Raw genomic sequence first — 16985 nt, 5'->3', positions numbered from 1 at the left:
CCTCAGCCTCCCGAGTAGCTGGGATTACAGGCACCTGCCACCACGCCCAGCTAATTTTGTATTTTTAGTAGAGATGGGGTTTCACCATGTTGGTCAGGCTGGTCTCGAATTCCTGAGCTTAGGCAATCTGCCCGCCTCAGCCTCCCAAAGTGCTGGGATTACAGGCGTGAGCCACCATGGTGGCCTATTTTTATTTTTTTTTGAGATTTAGTCTTGTTTTGTTGCCCAGGCTGGAGTGCAGTGGTGCCATCTTGGCTCAGTGCAACTTCTGCCTCCCAGGTTCAAGTGATTCTCCTGCCTCAGCCTCCCAAGTAGCTGGGATTACAGGTGCTTGCCACCATACCCTGCTAATTTTGTATTTTTAGTAGAGACAGGGTTTCACCATGTTGGCCAGGGTGGTCTCGAACTCCTGACCTCAGGTGATCCACCCACCTCGGCCTCCCAAAGTGCTGGGATTACGGGCATGAGCCACTGCGCCCAGCCTGAAAATGAAGTTAAAACACAACAAAACTTCATTTTGCTTGTTTGTATTTTTCTGTTGTTATTATTTTTGAGACGGAGTTTCACTCTTGTTGCCCAGGCTAGAGTGCAATGGCGCGATCTCGGCTCACAGCAACCTCCACCTCCCGGGTTCAAGCCATTCTCCTGCCTCAGCCTCCGGAGTAGATGGGATTACAGGCATGCACCACCACACCTGGCTAATTTTGTATTTTTAGTAGAGACGGGGTTTCTCCATGTTGGTCAGGCTGGTCTCGAACTCCGGACCTCAGGTGATCTGCCCGCCTCGGCCTCCCAAAGTGCTGGGATTACAGGCGTGAGCCATGGCACCTGGCATGTATTTTTCTGTTGTTATTTTTGTGGTTTCCTGAAGAAGACATGAGAAGATTCAGAGCTAAACTTTGTTCCCACTGGGACCAGATAATGAAATGCTTTTTTTTTTTTTGAAACAGAGCCTTGCTCTGTCACCAAGGCTGGAGTGCAGTGGTGCCATCTTGGCTCGCTGCAGCCTTACCCTCCCAGGTTCAAGTGATCCTCCCGCCTCAGCCTCCTGAGTGGGACTACAGGTGCGCTCCACCATGCCCAGATAATTTTTGTATTTTTGGTAGAGACAAGGTTTCACCATATTGGTCAGGGTGGTTTTGAACTCCTGGGCTCAAGCAATTTACCTGCCTTGGCCTCCCAAAGTGCTGGGATTACAGCATCAAAATACATGAGGTTTCCGGGCACAGTGGTCACACCTGTAATTCCGGCACTTTGGGCATTTTTGTTGCTATGTAGTTCATATGTCAAGCGTAGGCTATTTCAGCAAAATAAGGTTCCTGGCATCCCTGGGCTCTATATTTTGTAGAAAGCCCTGTAGGTTGGAGTCTAGTTGCAAGTCCATAGTTGGACAGAGGCAACCCTTTTGATCCTAGTTTAGGCGGGGGAGTGGAGTCGTGATTTGTGATCCTAGTTTAGGCGGGGGAGTGGAGTCATGATTTGTGATCCTAGTTTGGGGAGTGGAGTCATGATTTGTGATCCTAGTTTGGGGAGGTGGAGTCGTGATTTGTGATCCTAGTTTGGCGGGGTGGAGTCATGATTTGTGATCCTAGTTTTGGGGGGGTGGGGTTGTGATTTGTGATCCTAGTTTGGGGGAGTGGAGTTGTGATTTGTGATCCTGGTTTCAGGGAGTGGAGTCGTGATTTGTGATCCTAGTTTGGAGGGGTGGAGTCGTGATGGGAGTCAGCAGCAGGGAGGGTCTGTGTTCTCGGTGTTGAAGTTGGAGCGATGTCATCCCCCATGAGATGGGGGCTGTCCAGGTGGATGAATGGTGTGTCCCCAGTTGGCCATCCCCGTCAGGAAGGCCTTGTAGTCCCCTGGGAGGGCTGCTGTGTGCATCTCTGGCGCTGTTTCAAGTGTCACCCTGCATTTATTGTGATCCCTTGCAGACTAAAGTGAGGAAGCCCTTAGGAGGCAACTTCTTCCCAAACAGGTGCCCCCATGAGGTTGCCTTGAACAAGAAAACCATCCTGTTTCCACAAACAGGTGCCCCCAGGAGGTTGCCTTGAATGAGAGAACTGTGCTGTTTCCACAAACAGGTGCCCCCACGAGGTTGCCTTGAACAAGAAAACCATCCTGTTTCCACAAACAGGTGCCCCCACGAGGTTGCCTTGAACGAGAGAACTGTGCTGTTTCCACTTGCCTGACTGAGTCTAAATCTATGGGCAGAAGGCAGTTTGGACTTGCAGGCATGTTGCATCACGAGGCTGCCAATTTGACTGATTGGTCCTCCAACACCATGAGGAAGGGGCCGGGGATGAGTAAAGCCACACCCTCCTGGAGTTTGGGAAGACCCTGTGTGTCAGGTCAGCCTGGTCCCGCAGTTGCCATTTCCATGTAGCAAGGAGGCACCTGCCTGTGCTGGGTGGGAGGTGTCCTGAGCTGTGGCATGGTGGGGATTGGAGTCCACAGGGGTGCTGCTTCCACTCAGTGTGGGACCCTCAGTTTCTAATCGAGCTCAATAGGCGGATAGCGTTTGCCTTTCTACGGGGCATATTGAGCTGCTCTTTGGGGCTTGTTGAGTTCAGAACCCCATGGGCAACCAGGTGGACCATGTTTCCTCCTGAGACTCCACGAGGCAGAGTGGGTGTCGCCAGAGCTTCCATGCAAGAGTGGGACCTGGAGGCATGGTGGCATGGTGTGCTGGGCCGCCTGCTGGGCCGGGTGAGGGCTGTGGAGCCTCCCCACTGAGAGGTGGTTGCTTTATAGGTTATGGCAGAAAAGGGTCTGGGTATTAGAGTAAGATATGGAAACTCTTGTCTCCAAAACATGAAGAATCCAAATAAATGTGTCCGTCAAAGACCTGTGGGTGGTAACAGTGTCAGCAGTTTATGTTTAACGATTAATAGGATCTGCTGCACCCTGACCAGACAGTGCCCAAGAATTTTACTGAAGGCACCGGCCCCTGTATTTTATGTGGGGTGATAGCATAACCCTTTTTTTTTTTTTTTTTTTTTTTTTGAGACAGAGTCTCGCTCTGTTGCCCAGGCTGGAGTGCAGTGGTGCGATCTCGATCTCGGCTCACTGCAAGCTCTGCCTCCCGGGTTCACGCCATTCTCCTGCCTCAGCCTCCCAAGTAGCTGGGACTACAGGCGCCTGCCACCACGCCTGGCTAATTTCTTCTATTTTTAGTAGAGACGGGGTTTCACCGTGTTAGCCAGGATGGTCTCGATCTCCTGACCTTGTGATCCACCCGCCTTGGCCTCCCAACCAAAGTGCTGGGATTACAGGTGTGAGCCACTGCGCCCAGCCTCGTAGCTGGTTTTTTGTTTGTTTGTTTGTTTGTTTTTGCGACGGAATCTCGCTCTGTCACCCAGGCTGGAGTGCAGTGGCGAGATCTGCACTCTGACTGCAAGCTCCACCTCCCGGGTTCACACCATTCTCCTGCCTCAGCCTCCCGAGTAGCTCCCAGGTGGCTCATGCCTGTAATCCCAGCACTTTAAAAGGCCAAAGCGGGCAGATCACTTGAGACCAGGAGTTCAAGACCAGCCTGGCCAACATAGTAAAACCCCATCTCTACTAAAAATACAAAAATTAACTGGGTGTGGTAGTGAGCACCTGTAATCCTAGCTACTCGGGAGGCTGAGGTGGGAGGATTGCTTGAGCCTGGAAGGTCAAGACTGCCATGAGCTGAGATCATCCACTGTACTCCAGCCTGGGCAACAGAGCAAGACTGTCTTAAGCAAAATAAAATAGGCCGGGTGCCGTGGCTCACGCCTGTAATCCCAGCACTTTGGGAAGCTAAGGCAGGCGGATCATCGGAGGTCAGGAATTCAAGACCAGCCTGGCCAACATGGTGAAACCCCATCTCTACTAAAAATACAAAAAAATTAGCAGGCATGGTGGTGGGCGCCTGTAATCCCAGCTACTTGGGAGGCTGAGTCAGGAGAATTGCTTGAACTCGGGAGCCGGAGGTTGCAGTGAGCCGAGACCACGCCATTGCACTTCAAACTGGGCAACAAGAACCAAAAAAAACCTCCATCTCAAAAATTAACAATAATAAAGTAGGCCGGGCACGGTGGCTCACGCCTGTAATCCCATCACTTTGGGAGGCCAAGGCAGATGGATCACCTGAGGTCGGGAGTTCAAGACCAGCCTGACCAACTTGGAGAAACCCCAACTCTACTAAAAATATAAAAATTAGCTGGGCGTGGTGGCGCCTGCCTGTAATCCCAGCTACTTGGGAGGCTGAGGCAGGAGAATCACTTGAACCCAGGAGGTGGAAGTTGCGGTGAGCCAAGATCATGCCATTGCACTCTAGCCTGGGCAACAAGAGCGAAACTCTGTCTCAAAAATAAATAAATAAATAAATAAATAAATAAATAAATAAATAAATAAATAAAATAAAGGAAGGTGAACTCCCGAGGGTTTGTTCGTGATTCCCTTTATTTTAAAAGCTTTCCCTTTTGTAGGCTCCTCAGGAACTACTGTGACTTGGGCCCCCTTATAAAGTACTGAAAGTTTTTCTTGTCCCAATTAATAGAGTAGTAAAAGGGTAATTGTCCCCTCAGAGTGGGATAGTCCCTGGAGGACCACCAAGTCCCCAGGCTAAGGGATGAGGAGGCTGCCATTCTCTCAAGTCGGGAAAGGAGGGAGGGTATTAGTGTTCTGTGAGAACAGGCTGTCGAGGGTCCTCAGCCTTCAGAAATGCGGCTGCGTGAGCCCAGGTGTTTGACGGCCACCAGCTTGTTTTCTGGTTGTCCCATGATGAGGGCGTTGGGCACAGCCGCCCAGCGTGGGGGCCCATGAGGGTCCGGTTCTTAGTCCAGGGATTTGGGGAAGGGTTTCCAGGTGCTCAGGGAAAATAATGGTGAGGCCTGGGTCCCGCTGTGGGGGGCCAGGGTCAGTTGAGGTCCGGCTGGGGGCCCTCAGCAGGCGACTGCCGAGCACCAGGAAGCAGCTGCCCATGTCTCACCTTTGCACAAGTCTTGTCCAGAGCTGCCGTGTGACTGAGAGGAGCCTCTTCAGGACTGGAGATAGTCCCATGGTACCCCGGCAGTGGCATTCAAAGAGACAACAGACCCCTCTTGCTGTCTGCCATCACTTAGCAGGAGGTGGGTGTGGTCTCCAGGGCCACTCTACAGTGAGCTCTGGCTGTTGTCACTATGGTGGGCGGTTGAGTCTGGGCCACACCTTGAGTATCCACGGCACGGAGGCTCCGAGTGCGCCCGTCCTTCCCACCCGGTGAGGCTTCCGTGACCTCGTCAGTGCTTTTTCTGATTTGTGGGCATGGGATTGGCCACATTGAGGGACAGATGTGGGGGATGTGGGCCAGTGTCCTGGAGGAATTTAGTACACATTTCTGTGGGAGTGAGCGCTAACTCTGACCTGGTACTACATGCCCTGAGTAGCTGGCCAGCCCCCTTTTCACTCTGGCAATACAAAAATACAAAATCTCTTTTTTTTTTTTTTTTTTTGAGACGGAGTCTTGCTCTGTTGCCCAGGCTGCAATGGGGTGATCTCAGCTCACTGCAACCTCTGCCTCCTGGGTTCAAGCAATTCTCCCACCTCAGCCTCCCAAGTAGCTGGGATTACAGGTGCACTCCACTACTGGCCAGCTAATTTTTGTATTTTAAGTAGAGATGGGGTTTTACCATGTTGGCTAGGATGGTCTCGAACTCCTGACTTCAGATGATCTACCCTCCTCAGCCTCCCAAAGTGTTGGGATTACAGGCGTGAGCCACCATGCCCAGCCAATGTAAAATCTCTTTTTTTTTTATTTTTTTGAGACGGAGTCTTGCTTTGTCCCCTGGCTGGAGTGCAGTGGTGCGATCTTGGCTCACTGCAACCTCTGCCTCCCTGGTTCAAGTGATTCTCCTGCCTCAGCCTCCCAAGTAGCTGGGATCACAGGCATGCACCACCACGTCTGGCTAATTTTTGTATTTTTAGTAGAGACGGGGTTTCTCTGTGTTGGTCAGGCTGGTCTCAAACTCCTGACCTCAGGTGATCTACCCACCTCGGCCTCCCAAAGTGCTGGGATTACAGGCGTGAGCTACCACGCCCGGCCTGCAAAATCCCTTAAGACAAATTTGAATTTTCTACCACAGAGGAATTTTGGTCTCCAGTTCTAATTCGCCCGTCTCCTGTGATTTTGACCTTTGAGATTATTACCAGAAGAATCTGAGGGTGACCTCTGTGTGTCCCTACCTTTCAGGCAGCGCCTCCCTCTTCAGGGTGTCCCAGTGACCTCTGTGGGAGGTCACTGACCCAGGGTCAGCACCCACCAGCGCCGTCATTTTCTGGTGTCAGGGTTGGCCCCCAGGCCCCAGGACCACAGGGCCAGCGGCACCAAGTAGAGTTCATGCCGTTGCTGTGAGCCTTACACTCATCTCAGAGCCAGGTGGAGGCCTCCAGCGTCCGGTGGGGCAGGAACCGGGTGCTCAGGGCATTTGCTTTTGCCCACCAATCGTAGCCGGTTTGTGCCAGGGATTAGACCCGTGACACCCGCTGGAGTTGGGGGACAGGGCCGACAGCCACAGGGACAAAGCATGGATATTTGCAAGGGGTCATGACCAGCCCTGCAGGGATTGCCCATGGTCTGGGGTCTGCAGTAGACCTGGATACCTGTGAACGCCACGGGAGGTGTCCTTACAGCCAGGAGCTCCGCTCGGCTCAGCGCTGGGACAAAGGAAAACACCAGGCAGGTGTGGCATGGGAAGGTCCCAACAGAGGGACTGTGGTCTGAGTGGGCGCCTCCTGGGTCAGGATTTCGGAAACACAGAGCCACGCTTACCTGCCCAACAGTCATTCAGGCTGCACAGTTTAGGCATCTGGCACGTGCAGCCTAAGATTCTGCCGGCTGCGGAACAGACCTAGCGGCATCTCTGTCTTCCCAGATGTAGTTGTCCCCACTGGCGGTGATTTTAGTCAGCCAGGCGCAGCTGAAGCATCTCATGCTAAGCATGGGTGCGCTCCCTCCCAGCAACGGTGTTAGCTGTTCCAGGGTTTTTTCTTTTTTTCTTTTTTCCTTTTGTTTCTCTTGAGAAAACCTCTTCAGTGATCAGACACAAGATGGAAAATAAAGATTTGCTTACGTATATGTCTTGGGGGTACACGGCACGCCTGAAGGCCACATGGAGGTCGGCGCGAGGAGAGAGGATGGAGGGCGAGGATCTGGGGCATCTGCCTTCCTGGGTTCCAGGGTATGGGTGGAAGCCCAGATGGAGAAGAGGGGTGCAAGGGTTTGAAGCAAACACGTCCAAGGAGGGCTCCTGCTCCATTATCAGTCCAGGTTTTGCGTCCAGTCAAGCAGCTGTGTGTAGGTGGGGTTGTAGCGGTGGCCTCTGACCCACAGGGACCAAGAGGGAGGGGTTGGGAACTCAGGCCGCTGCCGGAGGCCTCATGGCAGCCGGAGCTCATGTCAAAGAGCATAGCACATGCGGAGGCAGCTCAGAAACAGGCGTGCTGCACTGTGGTCTGCTTTAGAGGTGGGGTCTCAACATCTTGCCCAGGCAGGTCTCAAACTTTTGGCCTCAAGTGATCCTCCCACCTCAGCCTCTCAAAGTGCTAGGATTACAGGCGTGAGCCACCACACCCAACTTAAGTAATATTTTATCAACATTTTTGTTTTGTTTTGTTTTGAGACGGAGTCTCCCTCTGTTGCCCAGGCTGGAGTGCAGTGGTATGATCTCGGCTCATTACAACCTCTGCCTCCCGGGTTCAAGCAATTCTGCCTCAGCTTCCCGTGTACCTGGGACTACAGGCATATGCCACCACGCCTGGCTAATTTTTGTATTTTTAGTGGAGACAGGGTTTCTCCATGTTGGCCAGGCTGCTCTCGAACTCCTGACCTCAGATGATCCACCCGCCTCAGCCTCCCAAAGTGCTGGGATTACAGGTGTGAGCCACCCCGCCTGGCCTTTATCAACAATTTATTACATACAAGCAAATTATTACTGCTGCTAGTATTAAGTTACCTACTGTGGTTTGTTTTTTGAGGTCTGATAGGTTCTAAGGCTGTCCAATGTATTTTTTTTTTTTTTTTTTTGAGACGGAGTCTCGCTCTGTCGCCCAGGCTGGAGTGCAGTGGTGCGATCTTGGCTCACTGCAAGCTCCGCCTCCCGGGTTCACGCCATTCTCCTGCCTCAGCCTCCCAAGTAGCTGGGACTATAAGTGCCTGCCACCACACCCAGCTAATTTTTTGTATTTTTAGTAGAGACGGGGTTTCACCGTGTTGGCCAGGATGGTCTCCATCTCCTGACCTCGTGATTCCCCCGCCTTGGCCTCCCCAAGTGCTGGGATTACAGGCGTGAGCCACCGCGCCCGGCTTGGCTCAGTCTAATGTAATTGGCCAACTCGTCTTTTTACCATGACCTGTCAATCGTGCATAGGTTTTGAATTATCTAGAATTGATGTACAGCACTTTTTCCCCCAGCATGTTATGGAAGATTTCAGACATACATCAAATTTGGAAGAGCTTTATAGTGAAGACCCATACACCCACCACCAAGGTTCTGTGTTAACATTTATCATGCTTGGAAATCATGTTTCCCTATCCCACTATCCCTCTACCAGACCCATCATGTACTTTGTTTTTGTTTTTAAAGTAAATTGCAAGGCTGGGCACAGTGGCTCACACCTGTAATCCCAACACTTTGGGAGGCTGAGGTGGGCGGATCACTTGAGGCCAGGAGTTTGACACAAGCCTGGCCAACATGGTAAACTCCGTCTTTACAAAAAAATAAAAAAATTAGCCAGGCGTGGTGGCACATGCCTGTAGTCCCAGCTACTCCGGAGGCTGAGGCATGAGAATCACTTGAACCTGAGAGGCAGAGGTTGCAGTGAGTTGAGATCGCATCATTGCACTCCAGCCTGGGTGACGGAGAAAGACTCTGTCTTAAAAAAAAAAAATGCAGCTGTCAGGACATGTCCTTTATTGAATTTAATTTTATTTTTACTTTTAAAATTATTGGGCCGGGCATGGTGACTCATGTCTGTAATCCCAGCACTTTGGGAGGCCGAGGTGGGCGGATCACCTGGAGTCAGGAGTTCGAGACCTGCCTGGCCAGCATGGTGAAACCCTGTCTCTACTGAAAATACAAAAAATCAGCAGGGCGTGGTGGCTCACGCCTGTAATCCCAGCTCCTCAGGAGGCTGAGGCAGGAGAGTTGCTTGAACCTGGGAGGCAGAGGTTGCCGTGAGCAGAAATCGTGCCACTGCACTCCAGCCTGGGCAATAGAGCAAGACTCTGTCTCAAAATGCATAGATAACATACATAAAATAACAAAGAAGCAGCACTAACAGGACGCTTCCTTTAAATACATATGTGTCATTAATTGGAGATCAGTGTTTGTTTACAGTTTTTTCTTTTGAGGTGAAAATTATATAAATGAAATGCACAAATCTTAAGTGTGAATTTGCTGAGTTTTAACAAATAGACACACTTGTGTAAACCAAACCTCTATCAAGATATATAATGTTATTGTTGCCCAGAAAGTTCCATCGGTACACAGTATACCATTGAGGAAACACACACTTTTGGAGCTGGAGGAAGACGAAGAACTGCATAGTTTCGTGAAACTATGGTTCTGATAGCCACTGTTTGTGGTCATTTTGACTAAAGTGTTGATTGAGATATTCTAAACTTGCAGGGGAGCAAGGCTCCTGTGTGTGGTTTGTGCCAGACTTAGACCAGGAAGCAAGGTGGCCTTAGCTCATGGCCCAGGCATCCCGTGGATGACGTCAGTGTAGTGAACCCTAACATCATGGGGCTTCCTCGGTCCTCCGGGGGAGCCATCATCTGGAAGCATTTAAGTCCTGTTGGGGCAGTTGGAGGAGAGTCCGTCTTCAGTCTTAATCCCATGTGTCTGCGCGACACAGTGCCCAAGGTGCTGCTGTCTCCTCTGAGGGGGGCGGTTCCCACGACCGTCACTGGGTGTCTGAATGGCATGAGATCTTGAGTAAGATCTTGTCAGCCAACTGGGGAAAGATGATTCTGTTTTTGTTTGTTCGCCTTTGAAGGGGCAGTGGTGAGCACAGGTGCCCTGCATTAGAAGTTTCGAGTGTGTTTCGGGGGTGTCCAAGAAGGAGGTTAGTGATGGGCACCCCGGAGAGCCACAGGCTCCGTCCTGTCCTGCCCTACCGCCATGTCTGACCTGGCCCGGCAGGCGTCTCTGGCAGTGCCTCCATGTGGACTTTGTATCCAGGCTGAGTTTCAGTCGTGTTTGTTGGGGGTCCCTTGGCAGGGCCCTGCCCCGGGACGCCCCGTCGCAGCGTCACATGCCAGTGTCACCCCCGGGACGCCCCGTCGCAGCGTCACATGCCAGTGTCACCCCCGGGACGCCCCGTCGCAGCGTCACATGCCAGTGTCACCCCCGGGACGCCCCGTCGCAGCGTCACATGCCAGTGTCACCCCCGGGACGCCCCGTCGCAGCGTCACATGCCAGTGTCACCCCCGGGACGCCCCGTCGCAGCGTCACATGCCAGTGTCACCCCCGGGACGCCCCGTCGCAGCGTCACATGCCAGTGTCACCCCCGGGACGCCCCGTCGCAGCGGCACGCGCTGTGCTTTCCGTGGCTGTCTTACCACGGAAGGCCTCTGGGCGGCAGCAGAGCCCACCCTTGCTGCTCTTTCAGTCCAGGGATTGGCGCTCTGGGCCCCGCGCCTGGAGGGGCTTTAGGCCCGGTGGATAAAACATGGCTCTCCACTTCCCTGTTTGGTTCCTGAGTTCTCTTTTGGCACTTTTCAGCCGACTCTGGTGATGTACGAAGGGAGAGGCACTGCTGGGCCTGCCATACAGCTGCACAGTGAGTGAGCGGCCTCGAGTTGGTGGGTGAGGGCACCCGCTCCTGGGAACAACGCCAGCCCTGGGTGGGCTCAGCCCTGCCTGCAATGTTGAGAAACTGTTACAATTGAACATCTTTATCTGAGTAGTCACAAAAAACACATGTAACCTGTTGATAGCCTGATGAGAGATCTGTTTTGGTTTTGGTTCTTCAGAGACAGGGTCTCACTCTGCTGCCCAGGCTGGAGTGCGGAGGTGCGGTCTCAGCTCACTGCAGCCTCCACCTCGTGGGCTCAAGCTCTCCTCTCATTTCAGCCTCCCAAAGTGCGGGGATCACAGGCGCGAGCCACCATGCCCATCCCAAGAGATCTATTTTTAAGCGGGCAGTTACGTTGATATGAGACATCAGGGAGGACCCTGGCATTTAAAAGGAATCTTAGGCCGGGTGCGGTAGCTCACGCCTGTGATCCCAGCACTTTGGGAGGCCGAGGCGGGTGGATGGCGAGGTCAGGAGATCGAGACCATCCTGGTTAACACAGTGAAACCCCGTCTCTACTAAAAATACAAAAAATTAGCCGGGCGTGGTGGCGGGCGCCTGTAGTCCCAGCTACTCGGGAGGCTGAGGCAGGAGAATGGCGTGAACCCGGGAGGCGGAGCTTGCAGTGAGCCGAGATTGCGCCACTGCACTCCAGCCTGGGCGACAGAGCAAGACTCTATCTCACAAAAAAAAAAAAAAAAATAAAAATAAATAAATAAAAGGAATCTTATATGCTTGCTAAAAGGGCACTACGCATGGAGAAAATGACATAAAATTTTGTTTTCGTTTTTATCCCAATTTTTCTTTTGACTTTTATAACCAGGAGCTTTAGGAGTAAACTCGTATTTTTAAATTTTAACATGAATATAGGTCAGGCACACTTCATTTTATTCCACTTCACTTTGTTGTGGCTTTGCAGATACTGCTGCTTTTTTTTTTTTTTTTTTTCCATAGATGGAGTCTTGCTCGTCGCCCAGGCTGGAGTGCAATGGCGCGATCTCAGCTCACTGCAACCTCCGCCTCCCAGGTTCTAGTGATTCTCCTGCCTCAGCCTCCCAAGTAGCTGGGATTACAGGCGCGCGCCACCATGCCTGGCTAATTTTGTATTTTTAGTAGAGACAGGGTTTCACCATGTTGGCCAGGATGGTCTCAAACTTCTGACCTCAGGTGATCTGCCCCCCTGGGCCTCCAAACTGTTGGGATTACAAGTGCGAGCCACTGCGCCTGGCGAACATTTTTTTTTACAAATTGAAGGTTTGTGACGACCTTGTGTTGAGCAAGTCTGTCAGTGCCATTTTCAACAGCACGTGCTCACTTCTTTGTGTCACATTTTGGTAATTCTTGCAGTATTTCAAACCTTTTTTTTTTTTTTTTTGAGACGGAGCCTTGCTCTGTCGCCCAGACTGGAGTGCAGTGGCGCGATCTCGGCTCACTGCAAGCTCCGCCTCCCGGGTTCATGCTATTCTCCTGCCTCAGCCTCCCGGGTAGCTGGGACTACAGGCGCCCACCACCACGCCCGGCTAATTTTTTGTATTTTTAGTAGAGATGAGGTTTCACCATGTTAGCCAGGATGGTCTCGATCTCCTGACCTCGTGATCCGCCCGTCTCGGCCTCCCAAGGTGCTGGGATTGCAGGCATGAGCTACTGCGCCTGGCCTCAAACCTTTTTTTTATATCTGTTATGGTGCTCTGTGATCTGCGATCTTTAATGTTGCTATTGTAATTGTTTCAAGGGCACCATGAACTCTGCCTGTATGAGACGGTGAGCTTAATCGATGAGTGTTGGCTGTCCTGACCCACTGATCAGCCATTCCCTACCTCCCTCTCTCTCTCCTAGGGCCTCCATATTCCCTGAGACTCAGCAATATCGAAACTAGGCCAATTAATAACCCTGGAATGGCCTATAAGTGTTCAAATGAAAGGAAGAGTCACACACCTCTCGCTTTATTGCAAATGTTAGAAATGACCAAGTTTAGTAAGGAAGGTGCGGTGAAAACTGAGACAGGCCAAAGCCAGGCCTTTTGCGTCTGTTAGCTAAGTTGTGAATGCAAAGCAAAACTTCTTCAGGCGTGGTGGATCAAGCCTGTAGTCCCAGCTTCTCAGGAGGCTGAGACAGGAGGATCGCTTGAGCCCAGGAGTTTGAGGCTGCAGTGAGCTATGATCACACCACTGCACTCCAGCCTGGGTGACAGAGTGAGACCCTGTCTCAAAAAGAAAATAACAGTAAAAAGTAAAGTTCTTGAAGGAAATTGGGAGTGCTATTCTGGTGAACATATGAATGACAAGAAGGTACAGCAGCCTTATTGCTGATATGGAGACAGTTTCAGTCCCCCTCAAACTGTCTGGATAGAAGATCAAACCAGACACATTCCCTTAAGCCAAAGCTTCGCCTCAAGAGCAAGGCCCCAACTCTCTTCAATTATGCGAAAGCTGAGAGGGGTAAGGAAGCTGCAGAAGAAAACCTTGAAGCTGGCAGAGGTTGGTTCATGAGGGTTAAGGAAAGACGTAGTCTCCATAACAAAAGCACAAGGTGAAGCAGCCACTGCTGATGGAGAAGCTGCAGCACGTTGTCCAGAAGACCTAGCTAAGATGATTGATGAAGGTGGCTACACTGAATAATAGATTTTCAGTGTAGACAAAACAGCCTTCTATTGCAAGAAGATGCCATCTAGGACTCCCATAGCTAGAGAGAAGGCAATGCCTGGCTTCAAAGCTTCAAAGGACAGGCTGCCTCTCTTGTTAGGGACTATGTACACAAATTGTATTGTTTATTGAATGTTTACAAATCAGACCCAGCCATGGAACCGGCACAGATTAGGAAACAAAGCATTATCAGCTCTACAGAAGCCTAGTGGTGTCCCTGCCAGGCACTACTGCCCCAGGGATAATCACTGAGTTTTGCTTGGTTTTGAACTTTTTATAAATGGAATTTTACAGCATACACTCTTCAATGTTTGGGTTCTTTCACTAAAAAAAATTTTTTTTCAGAGACAGGGCGTCCCTCTGTTGCCCATACTGGAGTGCAGTGGCACCATCATAACTGACTAATGTCAAACTCCTGGGCTCAAGTGGTCTTCCCACCTCAGCCTCCTGAGTAGATGGGACTACAGGTGTGCACCACCATGCCCAGCTAAGTTTTCTTTTTTTCTTTTCTTTTTTTTCTTTTTTGGAGACAGAATCTTGCTCTGTTGCCCAGGCTGGAGTGCAGTGGCGCGATCTCGGCTCACTGCAAGCTCCGCCTCCCGGGTTCACGCCATTCTCCTGCCTCAGCCTCTCGAGTAGCTGGGACTACAGGCACCTGCCACCGCGCCTGGCTAATTTTTTGTATTTTTAGTAGAGACGGTGTTTCACCGTGTTAGCCAGGATGGTCTCGATCTCCTGACCTTGTGATCCACCCGCCTCGGCCTCCCAAGGTGCTGGGATTACAGGCGTGAGCCACCGCGCCCAACCTATGCCTGGCTAAGTTTTCTAATAGTCTTTATTTTTATTATTATTATTATTTTGAGACAGAGTCTCACTCTGTCACCCAGGCTGGAGTACAATGACACAATCTTGGCTCACTGCAACCTCCATCTCCTGGTTCAAGCAATTCTCCTGCCTCAGCCTCCCGAGTAGCTGGGACTACAGGTATGCGCCACCACACCTGGCTAATTTTTACATATTTCTTAGTAGAGACGGGGTTTTGCCATGTTGGCCAGGCTGGTCTTGAACTCCTAGCCTCAAGTGATCTGCCCACCTCTGCCTCCCAAAGTGCTGGGATAACAGATGTGAGCCATTGTGCCCAGCCTGATTTTCTAATACTATACTAACTTTGCATTCTTTTTTTTTTTTTTTTTTTTTTTTTGAGACAGAGTCTCGCTGTCGCCCAGGCTGGAGTGCAGTGGCACAATCTCAGCTCACTGCAACCTCTGCCTCCTGGGTTCAGGCAATTCTCCTGTCTCAGACTCCCGAGTAGCTAGGACTACAGGTGAGGATCATCACACCCAGCTAATTTTTGTATTTTTGATAGAAATGGGGTTTCACCATGTTGGCCAGGTTGGTCTCAAACTCCTGGCCTCAAGTGATCCACCCTCCTGGGCCTCCCAAAGTGCTGGGATTATAGGTGTGAGCCACCACGCCAGCCTAACACTGCATTCTTGAAATAAACCCACTTGTTGATGATGTGTTATCCTTGTTACATATATGACAGGATTTGGCTTCTGAAAATTTTGTTTAGGGATTTTACATCCGTCATTGTGAATGAGATCAGCCTTCAGTTTTGTTTTCTCGTACTGTTGTCAAATTTTGGTATCAAAGATGAATTAACCTCACATACACTGTTGGAGCATGTAGCATGTCTCTGTTTTCTGGATGTAACTGATGAAGAATAAAACAGAATGAACAAATAACCGAAATGAAAAAGGAGGCACCACCTAGATATTTCAGACTATCATAAAAAGATATATTGGGCTGAGTGCAGTGGCTCACACCTGTAATCCCAGCACTTTGGGAGGCTGAAGCAGGAGGATTGCTTGAGGTCAGGAGTTGGAGACAAGCCTGGCAACACAGTGAGACCCTGTCTCTACAAAAAAATAAGGAATTAGCCAGACTACAGGTGGTGCACACCTGTAGTCCCAGCTACTCGGGAGCCTGAAGTGGGAGGAGCACTTGATCCCAAGAGTTCAAGGCTGCAGTGAGCTGTGATCACAACACTGTACTCCAAGCCCCTGTCTTTTAAAAAAAGAGGCCGGGTGCGATGGCTCACGCCCGTAATCCCAGCACTTTGGGAGGCCGAGGCGGACGGATTGCCTGAGCTCAGGAGTTTGCAACCAGCCTAGGCAACACGGTGAAACCCCGTCTCTATTAAAATTACAAAAAATTAGCCGAGCATAGTGGTGAGCATCTGTAGTCGCAGCTACTCGGGAGGCTGAGGCAGGAGAATCGCTTGAACCCAGGAGGTGGAGGTTGTGGTGAGCCGAGATCGTGCCATTGCACTCCAGTCTGGGCAACAAGAGTGAAACTCTGTCTCAAAGAAAAAAAAAACAAGAAAGAAAGAAAAAAGGTGGTGGTGGATACATAATTGTTTGAGTGCTAAATAAATTGACTCATAATTTAAAACCCTTCCTCAGAAAAAATGCCAAGCCCAGATGGCTTCACCGACTTGTACTAAACAGTTAAGGAAGAAATAGCAACTATCTTACATATATATCTATGTTCAATAAAAGTTGGTTTATGCTGTGCATATAATTTTAGAACCTGATTCTTCTCTTTGTAATATGAGCTTTTCATTTAATTATATATCTTTCTATTATAATAATGGTAGAATTGTATTCCATTATGTGAATAGTTTTTACTGGGTTTAAACAGCCCCGTTTTTGGACATTTGGGTTCTTCCTTGTTTCCCCCCAATTACAAAATGCAGCGAGCATCATTGTAGTCATTTCAACGTACATATGGCAGTCCACTTAGGATGGATCCTAGGGGAGTAGTTTGGGGGACAAAGGGTGTGTGAGATATCAATTTTTTGGCTACATATTGTCAGCTTTTTAAAAAAGTTATATTTTGGCTAGGCACAGTGGCCTGCACCTGTAGTCCCAGCTACTTGGGAGGCTGAGGCAGGAAGATTGCTTGAGCCTGAGAGGTCAAGGCTGCTGTGAACTGTGGTTGCACCGTGGCACTCCAGCCTGGGAAACAGAGCAAGACACTATCTCAAAAAAAGGTCATTTATTTACAGTCCCACCAACAGTACACGGCATGATTGTTGCTTTAATTCTTTTTTTTTTTTTTTTTTTTTTTTTGAGACGGAGTCTTGCTCTGTTGCCCGGGCTGGAGTGCAGTGGCGCGATCTCAGCTCACTGCAAGCTCTGCCTCCCGGGTTCGCTCCGCCTCCTGGGTTCACGCCATTCTCCTGCCTCAGCCTCCTGAGTAGCTGGGACTACGGGCGCCTGCCACCTCGACTGGCTAATTTTTTTGTATTTTTAGTAGAGACGGGGTTTCACCGTGTTACCCAGGATGGTCTCGATCTCCTGACCTCGTGATCCGCCCACCTCGGCCTCCCAAAGTGCTGGGATTACGGGCGTGAGCCACCGCGCCTGGCCCTGGCCCAGATTCTTTACATCAGGAACTCGGTGGATATTTTTGTGCATCACAGCCAGGCCCAGGCCTTCCTGTCTGTCACTGCTAACTTACTTCTTTTGTCAGGTTTCA

General features: G+C 50.5%; 1 protein-coding gene and 1 long non-coding RNA gene across 7 annotated transcripts in view, besides 1 other annotated feature; one reads left to right on the top strand and one right to left on the bottom strand.

Annotated features, from left to right (window-relative positions):
* Positions 1–5041, bottom strand: part of LOC107986986 (uncharacterized) — a 29711-nt gene extending 24670 nt beyond the window's left edge. Inside the window, exon 1 of one of the 2 annotated variants that reach the window (XR_001746149.3) lies at positions 4955–5041. This is a non-coding gene — a long non-coding RNA (uncharacterized LOC107986986). The remainder of the gene's footprint in view (positions 1–4954) is intronic. The other variant, XR_001746150.3, reaches the window with a different exon arrangement.
* Positions 1–16985, top strand: part of ZNF251 (zinc finger protein 251) — a 34623-nt gene that overhangs the window by 14694 nt on the left and 2944 nt on the right. For 2 of the 5 annotated variants that reach the window (XM_005272356.5, XM_047422403.1), the window contains exon 5: positions 2132–2841. The exons of 2 other annotated variants lie outside the window; for them this stretch is intronic. In XM_005272356.5, coding sequence (XP_005272413.1) covers positions 2132–2154 — 23 coding nt within the window. In that variant the 3' untranslated portion in view covers positions 2155–2841. Of the gene's footprint in view, positions 1–2078; positions 2842–16985 lie in introns of those variants that run through there. One more of the 5 variants, XM_047422404.1, reaches the window with a different exon arrangement.
* Positions 5923–6810: an enhancer, noted in NCBI's record as "H3K27ac-H3K4me1 hESC enhancer chr8:145959413-145960300 (GRCh37/hg19 assembly coordinates)". NCBI's record gives its function as "activates a minimal SCP1, AML or CMV promoter by ChIP-STARR-seq in naive H9 embryonic stem cells {active_cell/tissue: H9 hESC(naive)}" and the evidence as "EXISTENCE:reporter gene assay evidence [ECO:0000049][PMID:30033119]".

Source organism: Homo sapiens, chromosome 8 (assembly GCF_000001405.40).
Source record: "Homo sapiens chromosome 8, GRCh38.p14 Primary Assembly".
Classification (NCBI taxonomy): domain Eukaryota; kingdom Metazoa; phylum Chordata; class Mammalia; order Primates; family Hominidae; genus Homo; species Homo sapiens.
Note: the sequence above shows the minus strand (reverse complement) of the source record. Positions and strands in the feature narration are given on the sequence as shown.